Source organism: Homo sapiens, chromosome 19 (assembly GCF_000001405.40).
Source record: "Homo sapiens chromosome 19, GRCh38.p14 Primary Assembly".
NCBI lineage: Eukaryota > Metazoa > Chordata > Mammalia > Primates > Hominidae > Homo > Homo sapiens.
The window spans coordinates 44,258,721-44,277,482 of NC_000019.10; the positions used below are offsets into that span (position 1 = coordinate 44,258,721).

Genomic DNA, 18,762 nt, shown 5'->3' on the forward strand with positions numbered 1-18,762 from the left:
CTTATATGTGAATTTTTTTTCAACAAATATATTGCAATTTTTTTTGGAAATTTGCAACAATTTGAAAAAGCTCACAGATAAGCCGTGTAGTCTAGAAATATCAAACAATTAAGAAAAATTTAGGTATATCATGAATGCATAAAATATATGTAGATATTAGTCTATTTTATCATTTACTACCATAAAATATACATGAATCTATTAAAAAAAGGTAAAACTTATAAAAACTTACACACACAAACACAGACTGTACGTTCACAGTCAAGAGAAATGTAAAACAAAGATGCAATATTAAATCAAGCCTGCATAAAGTTAACTGTAGTACATGCTGTGCTACTGTAATAATTTAATAGCTATCTCCTGTCACTGTTGTGGTGAGCTCATGTGTGTAAATATCTGCTTAAAATTCCAAGTAATGCTAATCATCTCAAAGTGAGCAGTTCATCTCTCTAGTAAATTGCGTATTACAGTAAAAAGTGATCTAAAGGTTTCTTATTTTTTATTGTGTTTAGTGCAATACTATAAAACTTGAATACTACCATGGGACCTATGTGAACTGCCACTAGTGATGTTGCAAGTGCTCCCAAGATGCATAGAAAAGTCATGACATTATAAGAAAAAGTTGAATTGCTTGATATGTACTGTAGAATGAGGTCTGAAGCTGCAGCTGCCTGCCATTTCAGAAAGATGGTTTATTTTGTAAACAGATGGTGTAAACTTACAGTATCAATACCGTACAGAACTGTAAATATTTCTCTTCTTCTTGATTTTCTTTTTTTCTTTTTTCTTTTTTTTTTGGAGCTGGAGTCTCACTGTCGCCTAGGCTGGAGTGCAGTGGCACGATATTGGCTCACTGCAACCTCTGCCTCCTGGGTTCAAGCAATTCTCCTGCCTCAGCCTCTGGAGTAGCTGGGATTACAGGCATGTGCCACCACGCCCAGCTAATTTTTGTATTTTTAGTAGAGACGGGGTTTCACCATGTTGGCCAGGCTGGTCTCAAACTGCTGACCTAGTGATCCACCCCCCCTTGGCCTCCCAAAGTGCTGGGATTACAGGCGTGAGCCACTGCACCTGGCCCCTCTTGGTCCCTCTTGGCTGGGCAGGGCGGTAGCCTGTTTCCGCTCGGGCATTCTGGGAAGTGTAGTGCAGAAGCCGTTGCAACCTTGTGTACTTCCGCTGCAGGAGGGCGAAGCAGCCGTCATCTATCCCCTCTGGGAGGTGAGTCAGCGCGGAACCTCTGCATCTACGGCGAGCTTTCCTGGCCTGGGCGTTGGACTCGCAGGTGCCTGCCCTCGCTCTCAGTGAAGGGAAGTCGCAGAGGGCGGGGACGACGGTTTGCTTGCCCTTTGTTTTTAGGGCGGTGCATGGGTCTCCAAGTTGGGAATGGCTCCTGGTCGCACGTTTGGTTTGAAGGTCTCCCGGGCGCTCAAGTTCCCTCGCCTTCCCCACCTTCCACACGCTCTGCTGTCTTCTGGCAATATAATCTTGGTAGTTTCTTAATTTCTCCGTTTCTCCTCTGTAAAGTGAGTTTCATAGTAGTACCTAACTGGTAGGGGTTTCGTGAGATTTACTTAAGATAAATAGATGTAAAAATGCGTAGGACCGATCCTGACACACACTGAAAAGGTGGCTGGTTGTTGCCAATCTGTTATTTCTTCCTGGAGAGGAGAGGCATTCAGTCTCTGAAAGCTTCTGTGAGCCCGCAGTGGGTTCTGAGCTCCAGGTGCAGCGCTACTCGCCCTTCTCTGATCTCTGCACCTCGCGAGGCTGTTCCTGGATTCCTAACGTGGGGGGACGGGGGTGTCAATTTTCTCTCCATCTTTTTTATTTTTCCTTCCCTTTTAAGGCATGAGTGTGTCTCACCTCCATGTGGTGCCTGGGGATGTCCACTGTCATTCATCCTGGACCAGAAACAGAGTTTAGATATCTTCCAACCTCCTTTCCTTCCTCAGCCTTGACTAACCGGAGGGCTGCAGAGAGGAGGGTGTTGACCCCCTGGCTCTTGGTAACATTGTCCCAACGTGAGAGGACTTAATATATGCTATTGCTATTTCTGCTTAGTTGGAGAACAGATTTCCCACACTCATTAGCAATATTATTTTTCCTGCTGGGCAAATGCTCAAATATTTATGGAATAAATGAGAGGTTGGATTAGGCATGTGTTCGTGAATGAGTAATAATAAAATTTGTTAATACGTTGAGTGCCAGGGTCTCTTCTATAGGCTTTATATGCATTAATTAGCTTAATCTTCAGAACAAAGATAATATTGTAATTCCTGTTTTACAGATGACAACACTGATGGGTAAAACATTTATCTTCCCAAAGTAAAACAACAGGAAAGAGCCTGAACTGGGAGTTTGAGCTCAGGCTGAGCTCAGGCAGAGTGGGTTCTTGACCTTTGTGCCACTCTCCTTCAGCCCTGAGAAATGTCAGTCCCATGGGGGTGCAGTGACTCACGCCTGTAATCCCACACTTTGGAAGGCTGAGGCGGGAGGATGGCTTGAGCCCAGGAGTTCAACAGCAGCCTGGGCAACATAGTGAGACTCCATCTCTACAAAAAAATTAAAAATTAGCCACACACCTGTGGTCCCAGCTACTTGGGAGGCTGAGGCAGGAGGATCGCTTGAGCCCAGGAGGCAGAGGTTGCAGTGAGCTGAGATCATCCCACTGCACTCCAGCCTGGGCAAGAGAGTGAGAGTCTGTCTCAAAAAAATTAAAAAGAGGAAAAGAAATGGTTTCACAGTTTAGGCAATGACTGGGGGATGCTCAAGAGTCATAATAAAAAAAATTTTTTTAAGGATTTGCAGGGAAGAACTCTGAGGAGATGACATTTGAGTAAATACCTGACACTGCTATTAAAATAAATAAATAGATAGGGTTTACATTATCCACAGTCTATGGATTGACCCTTTTATGAATGATTTCACTTTTTTTTTTTTTTTTTTTTTGAGACTGAGTCTCCCTCTGTCTCCCAGGCTGGAGTGCAGTGGCACGATCTCAGCTCACTGCAACCTCCCACTCCCAGGTTCAAGTGATTCTCGTGCCTCAGCCTCCCGAGTAGCTGGGATTACAGATGCCCGCCACCATGCCTGGCTAATTTTTGTATTTTTAGGAGAGATGAGGTTTCATCATGTTGGCCAGGCTGGTCTCGAACTCGTGACCTCAAGTGATCTGCCTGCCTTGACCTCCTAAAGTGCTGGGATTACAGGCGTGAGCCACTGCGCCTGGCCTAATGATTTCACTTTTAAGGATGACCTTGATGTTGCTTGAGCAAAGCAAATGAAATTAAAAACGCAGAAGAAATTGACATATAAAGTTCATCCTCTCCTCCTCCCAATTAATTTAATAGCCTGAGAATTTTGTAGCTTAAAGGAATCTTGGAGATCAATTAGTACAATCCTTGTCTGACTGTGTGTCATTCTTTGATTCTGTGTGCATCAAATACTCACTATATTCTAGGTGCTTGGGGTAAAAAGATGAGTAATGTTCATTATCTCACAGGCAAAACAGATGCTTGATTTACTAATTATACCCCAAATGCCCCAGCTACGCTGAAGGCTTCCAAGAGGAGGGATTACAAGAGAAGGACAGGGAAGCTGGTCCTCTCTGGAGGCAGAGTGGCAGGAGCAAAGGCACGAGAGGACTTGACAACCTAGGAATGAACAAAGTCTGGAAATTCAGGCCTCGAAAAGTGGCCCTGGTACATGTAGTGAGCAGAGCTGAGCCAGGCACCCCAAACCCCATTTGTTTTTTTCTACTAAATGTCGTGAAATGTCAAGTCTTGCAAAATCCTGTTACTGAGCAGAGCAGGAGGGTGCAGGTAAATATAGGACCAGAACAAAGGGAATTGGATATTAAAAATTGATCTCTCTCCCTAGCTTTCAGAAGAGAATACATTGCTCTCGTCCCTACTAGAGTGTTTCTGCCTGAAGTAGGAGGACCCACGAACAGGAGTAGCTATCTGTATTGAATGCTATCTTGTATATACTCACTGAAACCTCTTAATAACCCTACGAGGTAGATACTGTTATTGTCCTCACTTTATGGGTGAGGAAATAGGCACAAAGAGCTAGTAAGTCAGAAGAGTCAATTAGGATATTAGGTTCCTCATCATCTGGCTCCAGTATCCCTCAGCAGATCATTTTCAGCAGTTCATACCCTCCAACTTCCCCTTCTCTGATCTCTAAGACATGATTCCTTCCATGTCTTCATATTTCTGATTAGAGAAGGAGACACGATTAAGAGACAGGCTCTGGACTCAGCTGGATTCAGATGCAGTCTCACCTCACCAGCTCTGTGACCTTGGGCAACTTAATCTCAGTAATCCTCAGCTTCCTCATCCATTAAATGGGAACGACAGTCATCATATCATCACTTATTGAGAGCTTATATAATGTGCCACAGACAGAACCAAGGCTTTTACCCCATTTAAAAAATTGAGTCATAATTCATATACCATATAATTCACCCTTTTAAAGTGTGCAATTCGGTGGTATTTAGTGTATCCACAATGTTAGGTTGTACAACCATCACTATTTTCTAATTGAAGAACATTTGTATCACCCCCAAAAGAAACCTCATATGCCCTAGCCATCACTCTTTACTATCTCTTCTCTCAGCCCCTGGCAACTATTACTTTTTGTCTCTATGGTTTAGCCTAGCCAAGACTATTCGATTTGCTCATTAATCCCCAAAGCAACTGTAAATTAGAATCTGTTATTAGTACTACAGTATTTTTCATTTAAGTGAGACAGATACTGTCAAACTTTTGTTTAAAAAAAAGCTAGCAGAGACACATTTTAAATTAGTATTTCCTTACGACAGTGAGCACGGGAAAGGGAGATACACCATTGAGACTCTCCTGGCTACATGAAGAAAATTCATAAGTATTTATACCTTTTACAAAACTGAATGCTGATATCAATTAAATATTATAGGACAACAAAGTAGTAAGTAATATAGCCAATCAGAATTATAGACTTTTCAGAGGTAAAGGTGAATTTCATAAGATAAAGCATTGTACAGTCTTTGAAATCTGGATGTTATAAAAGACTCTCTTATTGGAAATGATGGCAAAAGACATTTGCAACAACAATTTTATGATGCATAATATCATCTGCTTTTCTGCAGCTTGCAGGGAAATCAGTTATACGAGTTTCCATCTGTTCACACATTTAACCCTTACAATAATCTTGCAAGAAAGCACTATTTTTCTCATTTGCAGGTGACAAATTTGAGGAATGGGGAGGTTAATTAGCTTAAACAGAGTTAGTAGCCATGCCAGGATTTGACCCCAGACCTTGTGACCCCAGAATCCACTTTTGTAGCCAGTACATTCTGCTGCAAGTAGCTGGGATTACAGGTGTGTGCCACCACACCCAGCTAATTATTGTATTTTTTTGTAGAGATGGGGTTTCGTCATGTTGCGGGCTAGTCTCGAACTCCTGAGCTCAAGCAATCTGCCTGCCTCGGCCTCCCAAAGTGCTGGGATTACAGGCATGAGCCACCATGCCCGGCCACCTTTTAAAAATTCAGCCAGCACAGCCATGTGGGCTAGGGCCTGTTTCTCATGGCTTCTTTCTCTTTTCCCAGTTCTGCCTTCCCAGGACCCTGCCCTTCCCCAGAAGGAGCAGGAGAAAATGACCAAGTTTCAGGTGAGTTGAGTTTTGATTTTTATCTCTTAAAATGACATCTCTTTTCCTCAAAGATTAGACACTTTTTTTTCTCTTCCTTGGGAAAGATAAAGGAGGAAAACAGGTATTTGGAATCTGCTAGTTACTTGATTTTCGATTGGTTCAATTTTTTGTTTATGTCTTTAGCTTTTGTTTTGGTAGTTTTATTTTATCATCTTTATTTCACAAGTAGTAGTGCAAAAATTCGTAGATATCAAAAAATGGGAGAAAACCTCCACATTACTACATTGCATACAAATAATCTATTTCCCCCATACTATTTTATATGTATTTACATATTGTATGTCTTATATCTATACTTGTCAGTGTATTTTAAAGAACTACAATCACATTCTATATACAATTTTCTTTTTTCAGTTAATGTTGTTACTAGAGTTTTATATGATTTAGTGTTCCTTTATGTATTTGTCTCAGAAGGGTTTTCATTTTTTGTCTAATTTTTCAGAGGCTACAAAACAAACACACAATGCTGTCTCTAAATAGTATTTCAATTTGCAAGACTTTTTCATGGGGCTTTAAAAATGCAATATTTACTTACAAAAATTATATATATCTTAAGTGGTCAGGTCAATAACAGTTTTATATCCCACTTCGACAGTTGTATAATTGCATTAGCCCACCATTCAGAACAAGATATAGAACATTTATATTACCCCAAAAAGGTCCCTCCTGTCTCTTTCAAGTCAGTTCCTTACTCCCCAGAGGCATCCTCTGTTATCCCTTACCCCCTTCTCACCCTTTCCCCCTGAGGCCCTAAAGTCCATTGTGTCATTCTTAGACCTTTGGATCCTCATAGCTTAGCTCCTACTTATGAGAGAGAACATACGATGTTTGGTTTTCCATTCCTGAGTTACTTCACAGAGAATAATAGTCTCCAATATCATCCAGCTTGCTGCAAATGCCATTAATTCGTTCCTTTTTATGGCTGAGTAGTATTCCATCATATATATATACACACACACACACACACACACACACACACACACACACACACACCACGGTTTCTTTTCTTTTGTTTTTTTTTGAGACGGAGTCTTGCACTGTTGCCCAGGCTGGAGTGCAATGGCGCGATCCTGGCTCACTGCAACCTCCGCCTCCCAGGTTCAAGCAATTCTCCTGCCTCAGCCTCCCGAGTAGCTGGGATTATAGGCACCTGCCAACATACCCAGCTAATTTTTTGTGTTTTTAGTAGAGACGGTGTTTCACCATGTTGGTCAGGCTGGTCTTGAACTCCTGACCTCGTGGTTCACCCACCTCGGCCTCCCAAAGTGCTGGGATTACAGGCGTGAGCCACTGCGGCCGGCCACACAGTTTCTTTATGTACTCATTGATTGATGGGCATTTGGGTTGGTTCCACATTTTTGCAATTGCAAATTGTGCTACTATAAACGTGCATGTACAAACACCTTTTTCAGCGTTGGGACTAAATTGACCCAACATTTCTAGGACAATTTGGTAGTATCAGTCAAGTTATAAAATACGTATTCCGTGTGATTCAAGATTTACAGTGCTGGGGCATTTACTGTTGGAATACTTACAAATGTCACCAAATTAAATACACAGGGGTTATTTTTTAGTAGCACACACTTTTGATGTGACTGTGGAAAAGTAGTCTATGAGATTGGCATGTGGGATGGAGAAAACGAGGAAGCTACTTAAAGTTCATTCGAGGCCCTCACAATCCAGAACGTCTTCCTGCCTGTTCTTTCTACCTGCTCAGTGCTGCCTCTCTCCCAGCAGTTATTGGCCATAAGATTGAGATTACATCTGCTTGATGTTGTAGGAGATGGTGACATTCAAGGATGTGGCTGTGGTCTTCACCAGGGAGGAGCTGGGGTTGCTGGACCTTGCCCAGAGAAAGCTGTACCAAGATGTGATGCTGGAGAACTTCAGGAACCTGCTGTCAGTGGGTGAGCACAGGCACCTTCTGTAACTGAATATCAGCCCTCTGGACTGTCCTGCTTTCAATTATTTAAGACTTTGGGACGCTTAAAATGCTTCCCTGAACTTGGGGATGTGAATTTTCTAATTCCTCAGGGACATCTTGTCTATACCTTGTCTATTTTTCTCAAATTGCAGTTGTGAAATCTTGGTGGGTTTTGAAATCAGTTGGTGAGTTACATTATTATTGTGTTTAATGAAATGAAGTAGAAATATTATAGCTCCTTGTCAGGAACTGCATTCAGTGCAACGAAAATTGTAAGTAAAAACAGGAAAGAAGATGTGATAAAAGTAGATAATGGTTAGGATCAAATTATCTGATCACTTGATTTCAGTGATTTACATTTATGTATTTGTGTACCGGATCACAAATTAAAAGGTATTCAGACAATAGCTCATGATCACAATTTTGAAAAATACTACTTAGAGCGCATGAAAATGGTGGTGTTGGAATTAAAATTTTTGACTATAATGCATTCACTTTATATATATGCCATTTCTTTTTCACAGGCTATCAACCCTTCAAACTAGATGTGATATTACAGTTGGGAAAAGAAGACAAGCTTCGGATGATGGAGACAGAAATCCAAGGAGATGGGTGTTCAGGTGAGAACCATGGAGCTCTGAGTCTTTGCGGGGTACAGCCTAGTCCTCTCCTCCTCACCACCTCCTCAGCCACCAGCCTGGCCCAAGACCCCAGAATTCATCGCCCTGGTTTACTGCAGCAGCTTGCACATGACCTTCCTCCTTCTACCTCCCTCCAGTCCATTCTCCACATAGCCAGATCATGTAAGTCAGATCATGTCGCTCCTTGGCTCAAAAGCCTTCTGTGACTTCCCATCTCACTCATTAATTCCAAAATCTCTACGAGCCTTCAGGGTCCTATGTGACCTGGTCACCCACTCCCTGTGAATTGATTTCCTATCCTTTGCTTTTCACTCAGTTCTTTCCAGCCACACAAGACTGCTGTGTGTTTCTTATACATGCCAAGGGTGCTTTTTTTTTTTTTTTTTCTTTAAGACAGGTCTCACTCTGTGACCTAGGCTGAAGTGGTGGTGCAATCATGGTACACTGCAGCCTCGACCTCCCAGGCTCAATCGATCTTCTCACCTCAGCCTCCTGAGTAGCTGGGATGGGACTACAGGCACTTGCCACTATGCTGGACTAATTTTAAAACTATGTATATATACATGTTTTTTTTTTTTTGGTAGAGATGAGGTCTCACCATATTACCCAGGTTGGTCTCAAACTCCTGAGCTCAAGCAATCCTCCCACTTCAGCCTCCCAAAGTGTTAGGATTACAGGCATGAGCCACTGTGCCCGGCATACATGTATTTCTTTCTACCTGAAGCCTTTTGCTCTTCTGTCTGCCTGGGATGTTCTTACCTCATACATCCTCTTGGCTCCCAGCCTACTTCCTTTATGTCTGGTCAGATGTCATCTCATCACAGAAACCTGCTTTTTTTTTTCTTTTAGACGGAGTCTTGCTCTGTCGCCAGGCTGGAGTGCTATGGCGCGATCTTGGCTCACTGCAACCTCTGACTCCCTGGAAAACTGCTTTGACTACCCTGTTTAAAATACCTATCCTTGGCTGGGCGTGATGGCTCATCCCTGTAATCTCAGCACTTTGAGAGGCCAAGGTGGCAGGATCACTCGAGGCCAGGAGTTTAAGACCAGCCTGGACAACACAGTGAGACCGCACCTCTATAAAAAAATTTAAAAAATTAGCTCACAGCTATAACTGTGCCACTGCACTGTAGCCTGGGCGACAGAGCAAGACCCTGTCTCAAAAATACATACATACATACATACATACATACATACATACATTTAATTAAATTAAATACCCATCTCTTTATTCTGCCTTTGTGATTAATCATCAATCATCAGCTGACATATTCATGTATTACATTTTGTTTACTTTTCTATGGTCTCTTTCCCCATTAGAGTACAACTTCATGAACGTAAGAATTTTACCTGTTTTCTTTTCATTTTTCTTTTTCTTTTCTTAGAGATGGGGGTCTGGCTTTTTCACCTAGGCTGGAGTGCAGTGATACAATCATAGCTTGCTGCAGCTCAAACTCCTGGGCTGGGACTACAGGAGTGCACTACTGTGCCCAACACTAATATTACCTGTTTTAAAATTGCTGATCCTTATTGCCTTTAATAGGCTTGGCACGTAATACCTGTTCATTTAATATTTGTCGAATGAGTGACTGAATGAGTGAATGAATGGGTTAATGGACCGATGTCAGTAACGTCAGTTAATGGACTAATGGATAGGTGTTTTCATTTGAATAGTACTGTAATGGCTCCCTCACAGATCTCCCAACCTGTGGTATCTGCGAGACTTTTGGTGAGAGTTGCCTCATCCATACACCCAGTGACAACCTCCCTGTTCTGCTTTCACCCCTCTCCTTCTATTCTTTCTCTTCCTTATTTCATTCCCCCTTTTCTTCACTTCTTCCTTCATTTATCTTTAATTTGAATATACATCATAAATACCTAAAATACACTAATTAAAGTCATTCCTACTTGATAGAAGCACCAAAACGCAAAAACTAAATTAAACAAACAAAAAAAGCAAACCAAAAGCCCAGGAGAATCTCTCTGCTTATCTGAGAGAGACAGGCCCTGGATTTTGTAAGTAGCTGGAGTAGTAAAATCTTTCCAATCTTCTTATCTTTTATTTTCTTGTATCTCCATGCTCCATGAACGTTGACTGCATTGCAATCAGGAATGTTGGATGCTGACTTCTTTGACTGACTGCCTCATTTTTAAAAATTTTCTTTTTTTGTTTTTGACTGCCTCATTTTTGTGTATAAACCTAAAACTTGGGAATTATGATCCCAGTTATTGCCATTGTCCTTTTTTTTTTTCTTAACAGGTAGCTTCTTCCCAACTTCTTCTTTGCCTCCTTAGCAAATCTTGACTGTTTTTGTTTTTTTTTTCTTTTTTTGAGATGGAGTCTCGCTCTGTTGCCAGGCTAGAGTGCAGTGGCGCAATCTTGGCTGGCTGCAACCTCTGCCTCTCAGGTTCAAGCGATTCTCCTGCCTCAGCCTCCCGAGTAGCAGGGACTATAGGCGCATGCCACCACACCCAGCTAATTTTTGTATTTTTAGTAGAGATGGGGTTTCACCATGTTGGCCAGGATGGTCTCTATCTCTTGACCTTGTGATCTGCCCACGTTGGCCTCCCAAAGTGCTGGGATTACAGGCATGAGCCACTGCTCCCGGCCACAAATCTTTACTTTTTTTTTAATTTTTGGCCAATTTTTTATTGAAATATATACAGAAAACTGTACAAATTGTAAATGTATAGCTCCCTAAATTTTCAGGAAGTAAAATGGCTTGTTTTACAGCTCTTTTTTATTGAGGTAAAATTTACATGTGCACACCTTAAGTGTGCAATTTGATGAGTTTTGACAAAAGGATATAACTATGTAACTCACAGCCCTTGGAAAACTGAACAAATCTGACAGCGTATTCTACCCTCACCTCTCTTTATTTTTTGGCAAACATCAGAATTTTTTAGGGTTTCACATTCTGCTTATCCACCTACGTACCCAGCTCCACCTATACAAAATATTCCTGAGGTCTATTTTCACTGGACAGAAGTACAAATTAAAGGGCATCTTCTCCCTCAAGGATCAATGAAACAAAATCTCACAGAGTATGGTGCTAAGTGGATCTCACTGTCTTCACTTCTCATTGAGAGAGTTCACAGGCAGAGAATAAAGAGGTGTCACTAAAGGACTATTTCAGAACATAGTTACTCTTCTGATGTTATGTTCAGCCTACTTATAATTTTTATGACACCTGTGTTAGTTATCAATTATTTTATAACAAATTACTGTGAAACTTAGCACCTTGGCCAGTTGTGGTGGCTCACGCCTGTAATCCCAGCACTTTGGGAGGCTGAGGCAGGCAGATCACCTGAGGTCAGGAGTTTGAGACCAGCCTGGCCAACATGGTGAAACCCCATCTATACTAAAAAAAAAAAAAAAAAAAAAAAAATTAGCCAGGTGTGGTGGCAGGCAACTGTAATCCCAACTACTGGGGAGGCTGAGGCAGGAGAATCACTTGAACCCCGGAGGCAGAGGTTGCAATGAGCTGATATCATACCATTGCACTCCAGCCTGGGGAACAAGAGCGGAACTTCGTCTCAAAACAAAACAAAAACCTTAGCACCTTAAAACAATGAACATTGGTTTATAGTTTCTATGGGTTAGGTATATGGGAGCAGCTTAGCTTAACCCTAAGTGAGGGTTCTCACTCCGGATCTCAAAAAGCTGTTAAAGAGTGACGGAGCTGCCGTCCCCGGAAGGCTGGACTGGGACTGAAGGACCTGCTTCCAAGGTGGGCTCGTTCACATGGCTGTGGCAGGAGGCCTCGCTTCCTTGCTAAGTGAACCATTCCCTACGGCTGCTGAAGTGTCCTCAAAACATGGCAGCTAGTTTCTCCCAGACCCAGTGATTCAGGAGAGTGGAAGATAGAAGCCACAGTGTTTTTATGACCTAGCATCAGAAGTGACAGATCATCACTTCTGCCATATTCTATTGGTTTCACAGACCAAACTTGATACAGTGTGGGAGGGGGCTTCAAAAGGGAATGGATTCCAATGGGGAGTGATCACTGGGGACCATCTTGTATTAGCCATTTAGGTTTATCAGAAAATTCAGTCAAACCAAGTGGCAACAATTATCAATGCCTTTACTCCTATAGGGTGTGTCAGCTATGGGAATAAGTTTTCTAATTCTTTTTCATTTATCATGTTCACTAATTGAATATTATATACTTAGAACCTCATTGAAAAGAAGGAGAATTCTCTCAAATCTAGCTCATCAAATGTATGTTTAAGGACTAAATTAAGGAAATAATGGTACTATCTTATGGGTTCATTCTCAAGACAGAGAAGATATTTTTCTATATTCTCTTCACTTTTGCCAAGGATGTCCCCTCTTTCTTTCTTTGAGAATTCTTGGCATCACTAAATAATCCACTTGTGAATGCTGAAGGAGAGATTCAGGCTTTTGTAACCATTTTTGGGCTTTATCATATACAGATGCAGGTTGTACAATGTAACCATGATTCTGAGGCTCACATATAGCCAGGATTTTGTAGATTTTATACATCTGCCACGGAAAAGAGGAGAGGATTTTTTTTTTTTTTTGAGACGGAGTCTCACTCTGTAGCCCAGGCTTGAGTGCAGTGGCACGATCTCCGCTCACTGCAAGCTCTGCCTCCTGGGTTCACACCATTCTCCTGCCTTGGCCTCCCGAGTAGCCGGGACTACAGGCGCCTGCCCCCATGCCTGGCTAATTTTTCTGTATTTTTAGTAGAGACGGGGTTTCACCATGTTAGCCAGGATGGTCTCGATCTCCTGACCTCGTGATCCACCTGCCTCGGCCTTCCAAAGTGCTAGGATTACAGGTGAGAGCCACCGCACCCAGCCAAAGAGGAGGGATTTTTAAGTGATTATTCTTATGGACAAGGAGGTAAAGTTTCTCCTCTACAACGTCTTTCTAGGGCATCTTTTTGTTGCTCTGTAGCCTGTGTATTTGACCACATACATAAGTCTTGGTATTGGCCAGGCATGGTGGCTCACACCTGTAATCCCAGCACTTTGGGAGGCCAAGGCAGGCAGATGACTTGAGGTCAGGAGTTCAAGACCAGCCTGGCCAACATGGTGAAACCCTGTCTCTACTAAAAATACAAAAAAAATTAATGAGGTGTGGTGGCATGCACTTGTAGTCCCAGCTCCTCCAGAGGCTGAGGCAGGAGAATCACTTGAACCCCAGAGGTGGAGGTTTCAGTAAGCCAAGATCGTGCCACCACACTCCAGCCTGGGCAAGAGAGTGAGACTCCATCTCAAAAAAAAAAAAAAAATCCTCTCCTCTTTTCCATGGCAGATGTATAAAATCTACAAAATCCTGGCTATATGTGAGCCTCAGAATCATGGTTACATTGTACAACCTGCAGTCTCAAAAAAAAAAAAAAAAAAAAGTCTTGGTATAGCTCTAAATGAGTCTCATTAACATTTTGTATATAGAAGCCAGCCTTTTTTGTTGCCATAGGCATGAAAAAAACCAATGATAGTCTGGGTGCGGTGGCTCACACCTGTAATCCCAGCACTTTGGGAGGCCGAGGCGGGCGGTTCACGAGGTCAGGAGATCGAGACCATCCTGGCTAACATGGTGAAACCCCGTCTGTACTAAAAATACAAAAAAATGAGCTGGGCATGGTGGCAGGCGCCTGTAGTCCCAGCTACTCGGGAGGCCGAGGCAGGAGAATGGAATGAACCCGGGAGGTGGAGCTTGCAGTGAGCCAAGAGCACACCACTGCACTCCAGCCTGGGTGACAGAGCGAGACTCCGTCTCAAAAAACAAAAAAAGAGAAAAAAAAACAATGATAAAGTCAAGCTGAACTCTCCACTGGTTTATTAAGGTTTCCCAATGTGGTCAACCTGTGAAATGTTTTTTTATTTCTGAACAAATGTTCAGTTGTCTTCATTTTCATTTCTGAGTTCTCTTTATCATTCTAGGACACAAGAATCAAAATGAGATAGATACCCTTCAAGAAGTAAGATTAAGATTCCTTTCATATGAAGACCTTATATGCTGGCAAATATGGGAACAATTTACAAGTAAATTAACCAGTAATCAAGACCTAATAATAAATCTTCAAGGCAAGAGGTCCAAGTTGCTAAAACAAGGTGATTCCCCCTGTCAGGTGTGGACAGGAGAATCTAGTCAGGTCTCTGAAGATGAGAACTATGTAATAAAGCTACAAGGGGAGAGTTCAAATAGCATAAAAAATCAAGAGCTTCCATTGAGGACCACCTGGGATTTCTGGAGGAAAATGTATCTGAGAGAACCACAGAATTATCAGAGTAGGTGTCAGCAAATTGATGTAAAAAATAAGCTCTGTAAATGTGATCATTGTGTTAGGCAAAGAATTGCTCATCAACATGATGATCATGGAGTACACAAAAGAGAGAAAGCTTTTAGCCACAATAATTGTGGAAAAGACTGTGTGAAGGAATCATCCCAGCATAGCATAATCCAATCAGGAGAGCAAACCTCTGATGAAAATGGAAAAGGCTTAAGTGTTGGCTCTAATCTTGAACTTCACCAGCAACTACACTTAAGAGACAAGCCTCATGTAAATGTTGAGTACGGGAAGGGCATAGGTTACAGCTCAGGGCTTCCCAGGCATCAGTGTTTCCACATAGGAGAGAAATGCTATAGGAATGGTGACAGTGGTGAGGGCTTCAGTCAGGGCTCACATCTGCAACCTCATCAGAGAGTCAGCACAGGAGAGAACCTCTACAGATGTCAGGTATATGCCCGGAGCTCCAACCAGAACTCCTGTCTTCCCTCTCATGAGCTTACTCACCCAGGAGAGAAGTTGTGTACATGTGGCAGGTGTGGGAAGGGCTTCCATCATAGCTTAGATTTTGACATTCACTGTGTAGACAGTGCTGGAGAGAGAGCCTGTAAATGTGATGTATATGATAAAGGCTTCAGTCAGACATCACAACTTCAAGCCCATCAGAGAGGTCACTCTAGAGACAAGACATACAAATGGGAAGTAAGTGACAGGATATTTAATAGGAATTCTGGTCTTCACCAGAGAGTTCACACTGGAGAGAAACCATATAAATGTGAGGTATGTGATAAGGGCTTCAGTAAGGCCTCAAATCTTCAAGCCCATCAGAGAATCCACACTGGAGAGAAACCCTACAAATGTGATGTGTGTGATAAGAACTTCAGCCGTAATTCCCACCTTCAGGCCCATCAGAGAGTCCATACAGGAGAGAAACCCTACAAATGTGACACATGTGGGAAGGACTTCAGTCAGATCTCTCATCTTCAGGCCCATCAGAGAGTTCACAAAGGAGAGAAGCCATACAAATGTGAGACATGTGGGAAGGGCTTTAGTCAGAGTTCGCATCTCCAAGACCATCAGCAAGTCCATACTGGAGAGAATCCCTACAAATGTGATGTGTGTGGGAAAGGCTTCAGTTGGAGTTCACATCTTCAAGCCCATCAGAGAGTCCACACAGGAGAGAAACCATACAAATGTGAAGAATGTAGGAAAGGCTTCATCTGGAACTCATATCTTCATGTTCATCAGAGGATCCACACGGGAGAGAAACCCTATAAATGTGGCATGTGTGGTAAGAGCTTCAGTCAGACTTCACATCTTCAAGCCCATCAGAGAGTCCATACTGGAGAGAAACCATACAAATGTTTTGTGTGTGGTAAGGGCTTTAGTAAGAGTTCGTTGTCTTCAGATTCATCAGAGAGTCCATGATGGTGATGAATCTATTAATCATGATGAGTGTGATAGGGGTGCTCTTCAAGACTTAGACTTCCCATTTTCCTCAGAAAATCCACACAGCACAGAATATTTATAAAATGTCATGTTTTAAGAATTCATGAGCTGAGTTTTTATAGTTATCTGAATTCCATTGAAGAAAACCTATTTTTGTATGAATATGACCAGTTTCAAGCAGAGCCCAAAATGTCACAGTTGTCAAGAGAACACACAACAGAGAAACCCTATAAAGAATGATACAATATGTTTCAATCAGAACCTTCACATCCAATAAGCAATATGCAGGAGTGAAGCCTTCAAAATGATAAGTAAGGTCAGAATTTAGCAAAAGTATAATGAGGGACATGACAAAATCTGTGTCCACTAGAATCTAAGCTCCATGCAGGAACATTGTTTACTGCTGCATGATCGTGACCTTGAACAAGTACCTAAGAAATAGTGGCTTCCCTGGAATTGTTTAACTTGATAGGAAAAATCTATCATATATAGGACATATATTTGAATATTTTAGTGAGCTCAGCCCCAATTCGTCATTATAATTGTACTGGGAAAAGGATTCTTGCAAGAAGCCTTAAAATGAATTCAAGGAAATGACATTTAATTAAAACACATAAAACCAAGCAGTCTACAATCTGAGTAATGTTTTTGCAATTGGCTTCTGTCCTCAGTTCAGCTTCATTTTCCAAGCAGTATAATAGGCCAAAGTTTCTATCTGATTATTTAAGACTTTTTCCATACAGTGTACAGCTGTGCTATGTTTCTTTGGCGGGGGCTTTTGCTATCTTTCTTTTTGGGAGCTAGTGTGATAGAAACAGACTGAATGAAGAAAAAAATCCCAACTGGTTTTTAGTTCCATAAAGCTTCATGAGAAAGGTTTTGCAAAAAAGGGGAATATCATATGGCATGCATTTTAGATGTTAAACTAAGCTGTTAAGGACACAGCATTTTGGACAACACCCCATACTTCTCAGACATCATTACACGTTATGCAGTGTGTAATGATCAAATCATAGTAATTGGATGAAGGGTTTACTCAGGTGTATATTTAGTGGAGGTGGGAGAAAGTTTCCCACTGTTGTTTTTTTTTTTTTGTCCTGGACCTTACCTTCCAGGACAATGAATACTTAAGTTCCATGATACCTCATTTCATGCTACCATCAGAAATACAGGGCCAATAAATGAAAAAGAAAAAATAAATAAAAAAGATAAAAACAAAAAAAGAAATACAGGGCCAATAATGCTTTGCTTCATCACCACCAGATTACTAGGGTGGGCTGCTGGAGCACATGGTTGTTTAAATCAAGATGTTTTCAATTGTGAGAAATGGAAAATCACACTCCAACTAGCTGGAACAAAATTTATTGGTATGCATATTTAAAAAGAAGAGGCTGGGCATGGTAGCTTATGCCTGTAATCCCAGCACTTTGGGAGGCCGAGGCGGGCAGATCACAGGTCAGGAGTTTGAGACCAGCCTGGCCAATGTGGTGAAACCCAGCCTCTACTAAAAATACAAAAATTAGTCGGGTGTGGTAGTGGTGCCTGTAATCCCAGCTACTCAAGAGTCTGAAGCAGGAGAATCGCTTGAACCCGGGAGGCGGAGGTTGCCATGAGCCAAGATGGCGCCATTGCCCTCCAGCCCAGGGGGCCGGTATGAGACTCCATCTCAAACAAGACAAAACAAAAAACAAAAAGAATACAGGTAGGACAGGACCAGGTCTCGTTGAAACAGGGCTCTGGGTCAATTCTTCTGTGATTCCCTCACCTCTGCCCTTCTGGTTGAGTTGATTCCCACATTTGTTCATTCCAACCTACTGAGGAAATTTACTTAAAGAATAGATGCTCAGTTAACATTCTCATATCACACACTCCCTTTTCTGTGCACTTCTAAAGCAGTTATTTTCGGAACCTCTTTTTGCTCTTAATCATGTAGAGACTTTTCATTTTCCTAAATATATCATACCTAAACAAATAACTCATAGAGGTACTGTGGGTTATGGTTTGCCATTTGAACCATGCATCAACCTTCTGGAGAATCTTTTAAAGTATATACATTTTTCCAGAGTAAAATTAATTTTTTTCTAAAACACGTGAAGTAGTTTTTATTAATATATTAATAGTTGTATATATTTATGGGATGCACGTGATATTTTGATTTGTGCACATACAATGTGTAATGATCAAATCATGGTAATTGGGATATGCATCACCTCAAACATTTATCATTTCTTTGTGTTGGGAACATTCTAAATCTTCTAGTTATTTTGAAATATACAACAAATTCTTGTTAACTGTAGTTGCCCTACTGTGTTATTGATTAGCTATAATAAATAAGTTCTAGTGTTACTGACACTGTTCTATCTGATCATATTTTTGTACCCATTAACCAACCTCTCTTCATCCTTCCCTCACCCCTATCCATCCCAACCTCTGATAACCACCATTCTAAATCACTTCCTCCTTGAGATCAATATTTTTAGTTCCTATATAGGAATGAGAATATGCAAAATGTGTCTTTCTATGCCTGGATGATTCCACTTAACACAATATCCTCTGGTTCCATCCATGTTGCTGCAAATGACAGGAGAAAGAAAATGTGGTATATACACACAATGGAATATTATCCAGCCATTAAAATAATAAAATCCTGTCATTTGCAGCAAGAGATTGTCTGATTTTTGTTTGTTTTTTATTTATTTATTTATTTTTTTGAGACAGGTCTCAGTTGACCAGGCTGGAGTGCAGTGGCACAATCCTAGTTCACTGTAGTCCCAACCTGCCAGACTCA

At 41.5% G+C, this 18,762-nt stretch overlaps 1 protein-coding gene across 9 annotated transcripts; it reads left to right on the forward strand.

Moving 5' to 3' along the window:
* Positions 1–1,165: 1,165 nt before the first annotated feature.
* On the forward strand, positions 1,166–16,597 carry ZNF233 (zinc finger protein 233). Of its 9 annotated transcripts, none has more exons than XM_017026758.3 (5): positions 1,166–1,488; positions 5,594–5,655; positions 7,478–7,604; positions 8,146–8,424; positions 14,179–16,597. In XM_017026758.3, coding segments are annotated over exons 1-5 (594 nt in total). In that variant the 5' UTR covers positions 1,166–1,364; the 3' UTR covers positions 14,181–16,597. The 9 variants fall into 9 exon arrangements, with proteins under 9 accessions (XP_016882247.1, XP_024307256.1, XP_016882249.1 ...); XM_024451488.2 differs by having other exon boundaries at positions 8,146–8,241; XM_017026760.3 differs by having other exon boundaries at positions 1,166–1,282.
* The last annotated feature ends 2,165 nt before the right edge of the window (positions 16,598–18,762 follow it).

Excerpts from the sequence above, each read along its gene's own strand:
- ZNF233 (XM_024451488.2), top strand. The coding sequence starts at position 1,365 with ATGGGTCTCCAAGTTGGGAATGGCTCCTGGTCGCACGTTTGGTTTGAA. Across the intron at positions 1,489-5,593 it reads CTTCTGGCAATATAATCTTG|TTCTGCCTTCCCAGGACCCT; the intron begins GTAGTTTCTTAA and ends CTCTTTTCCCAG. Across the intron at positions 8,242-14,178 it reads CCAAGGAGATGGGTGTTCAG|GACACAAGAATCAAAATGAG; the intron begins GTGAGAACCATG and ends TTATCATTCTAG.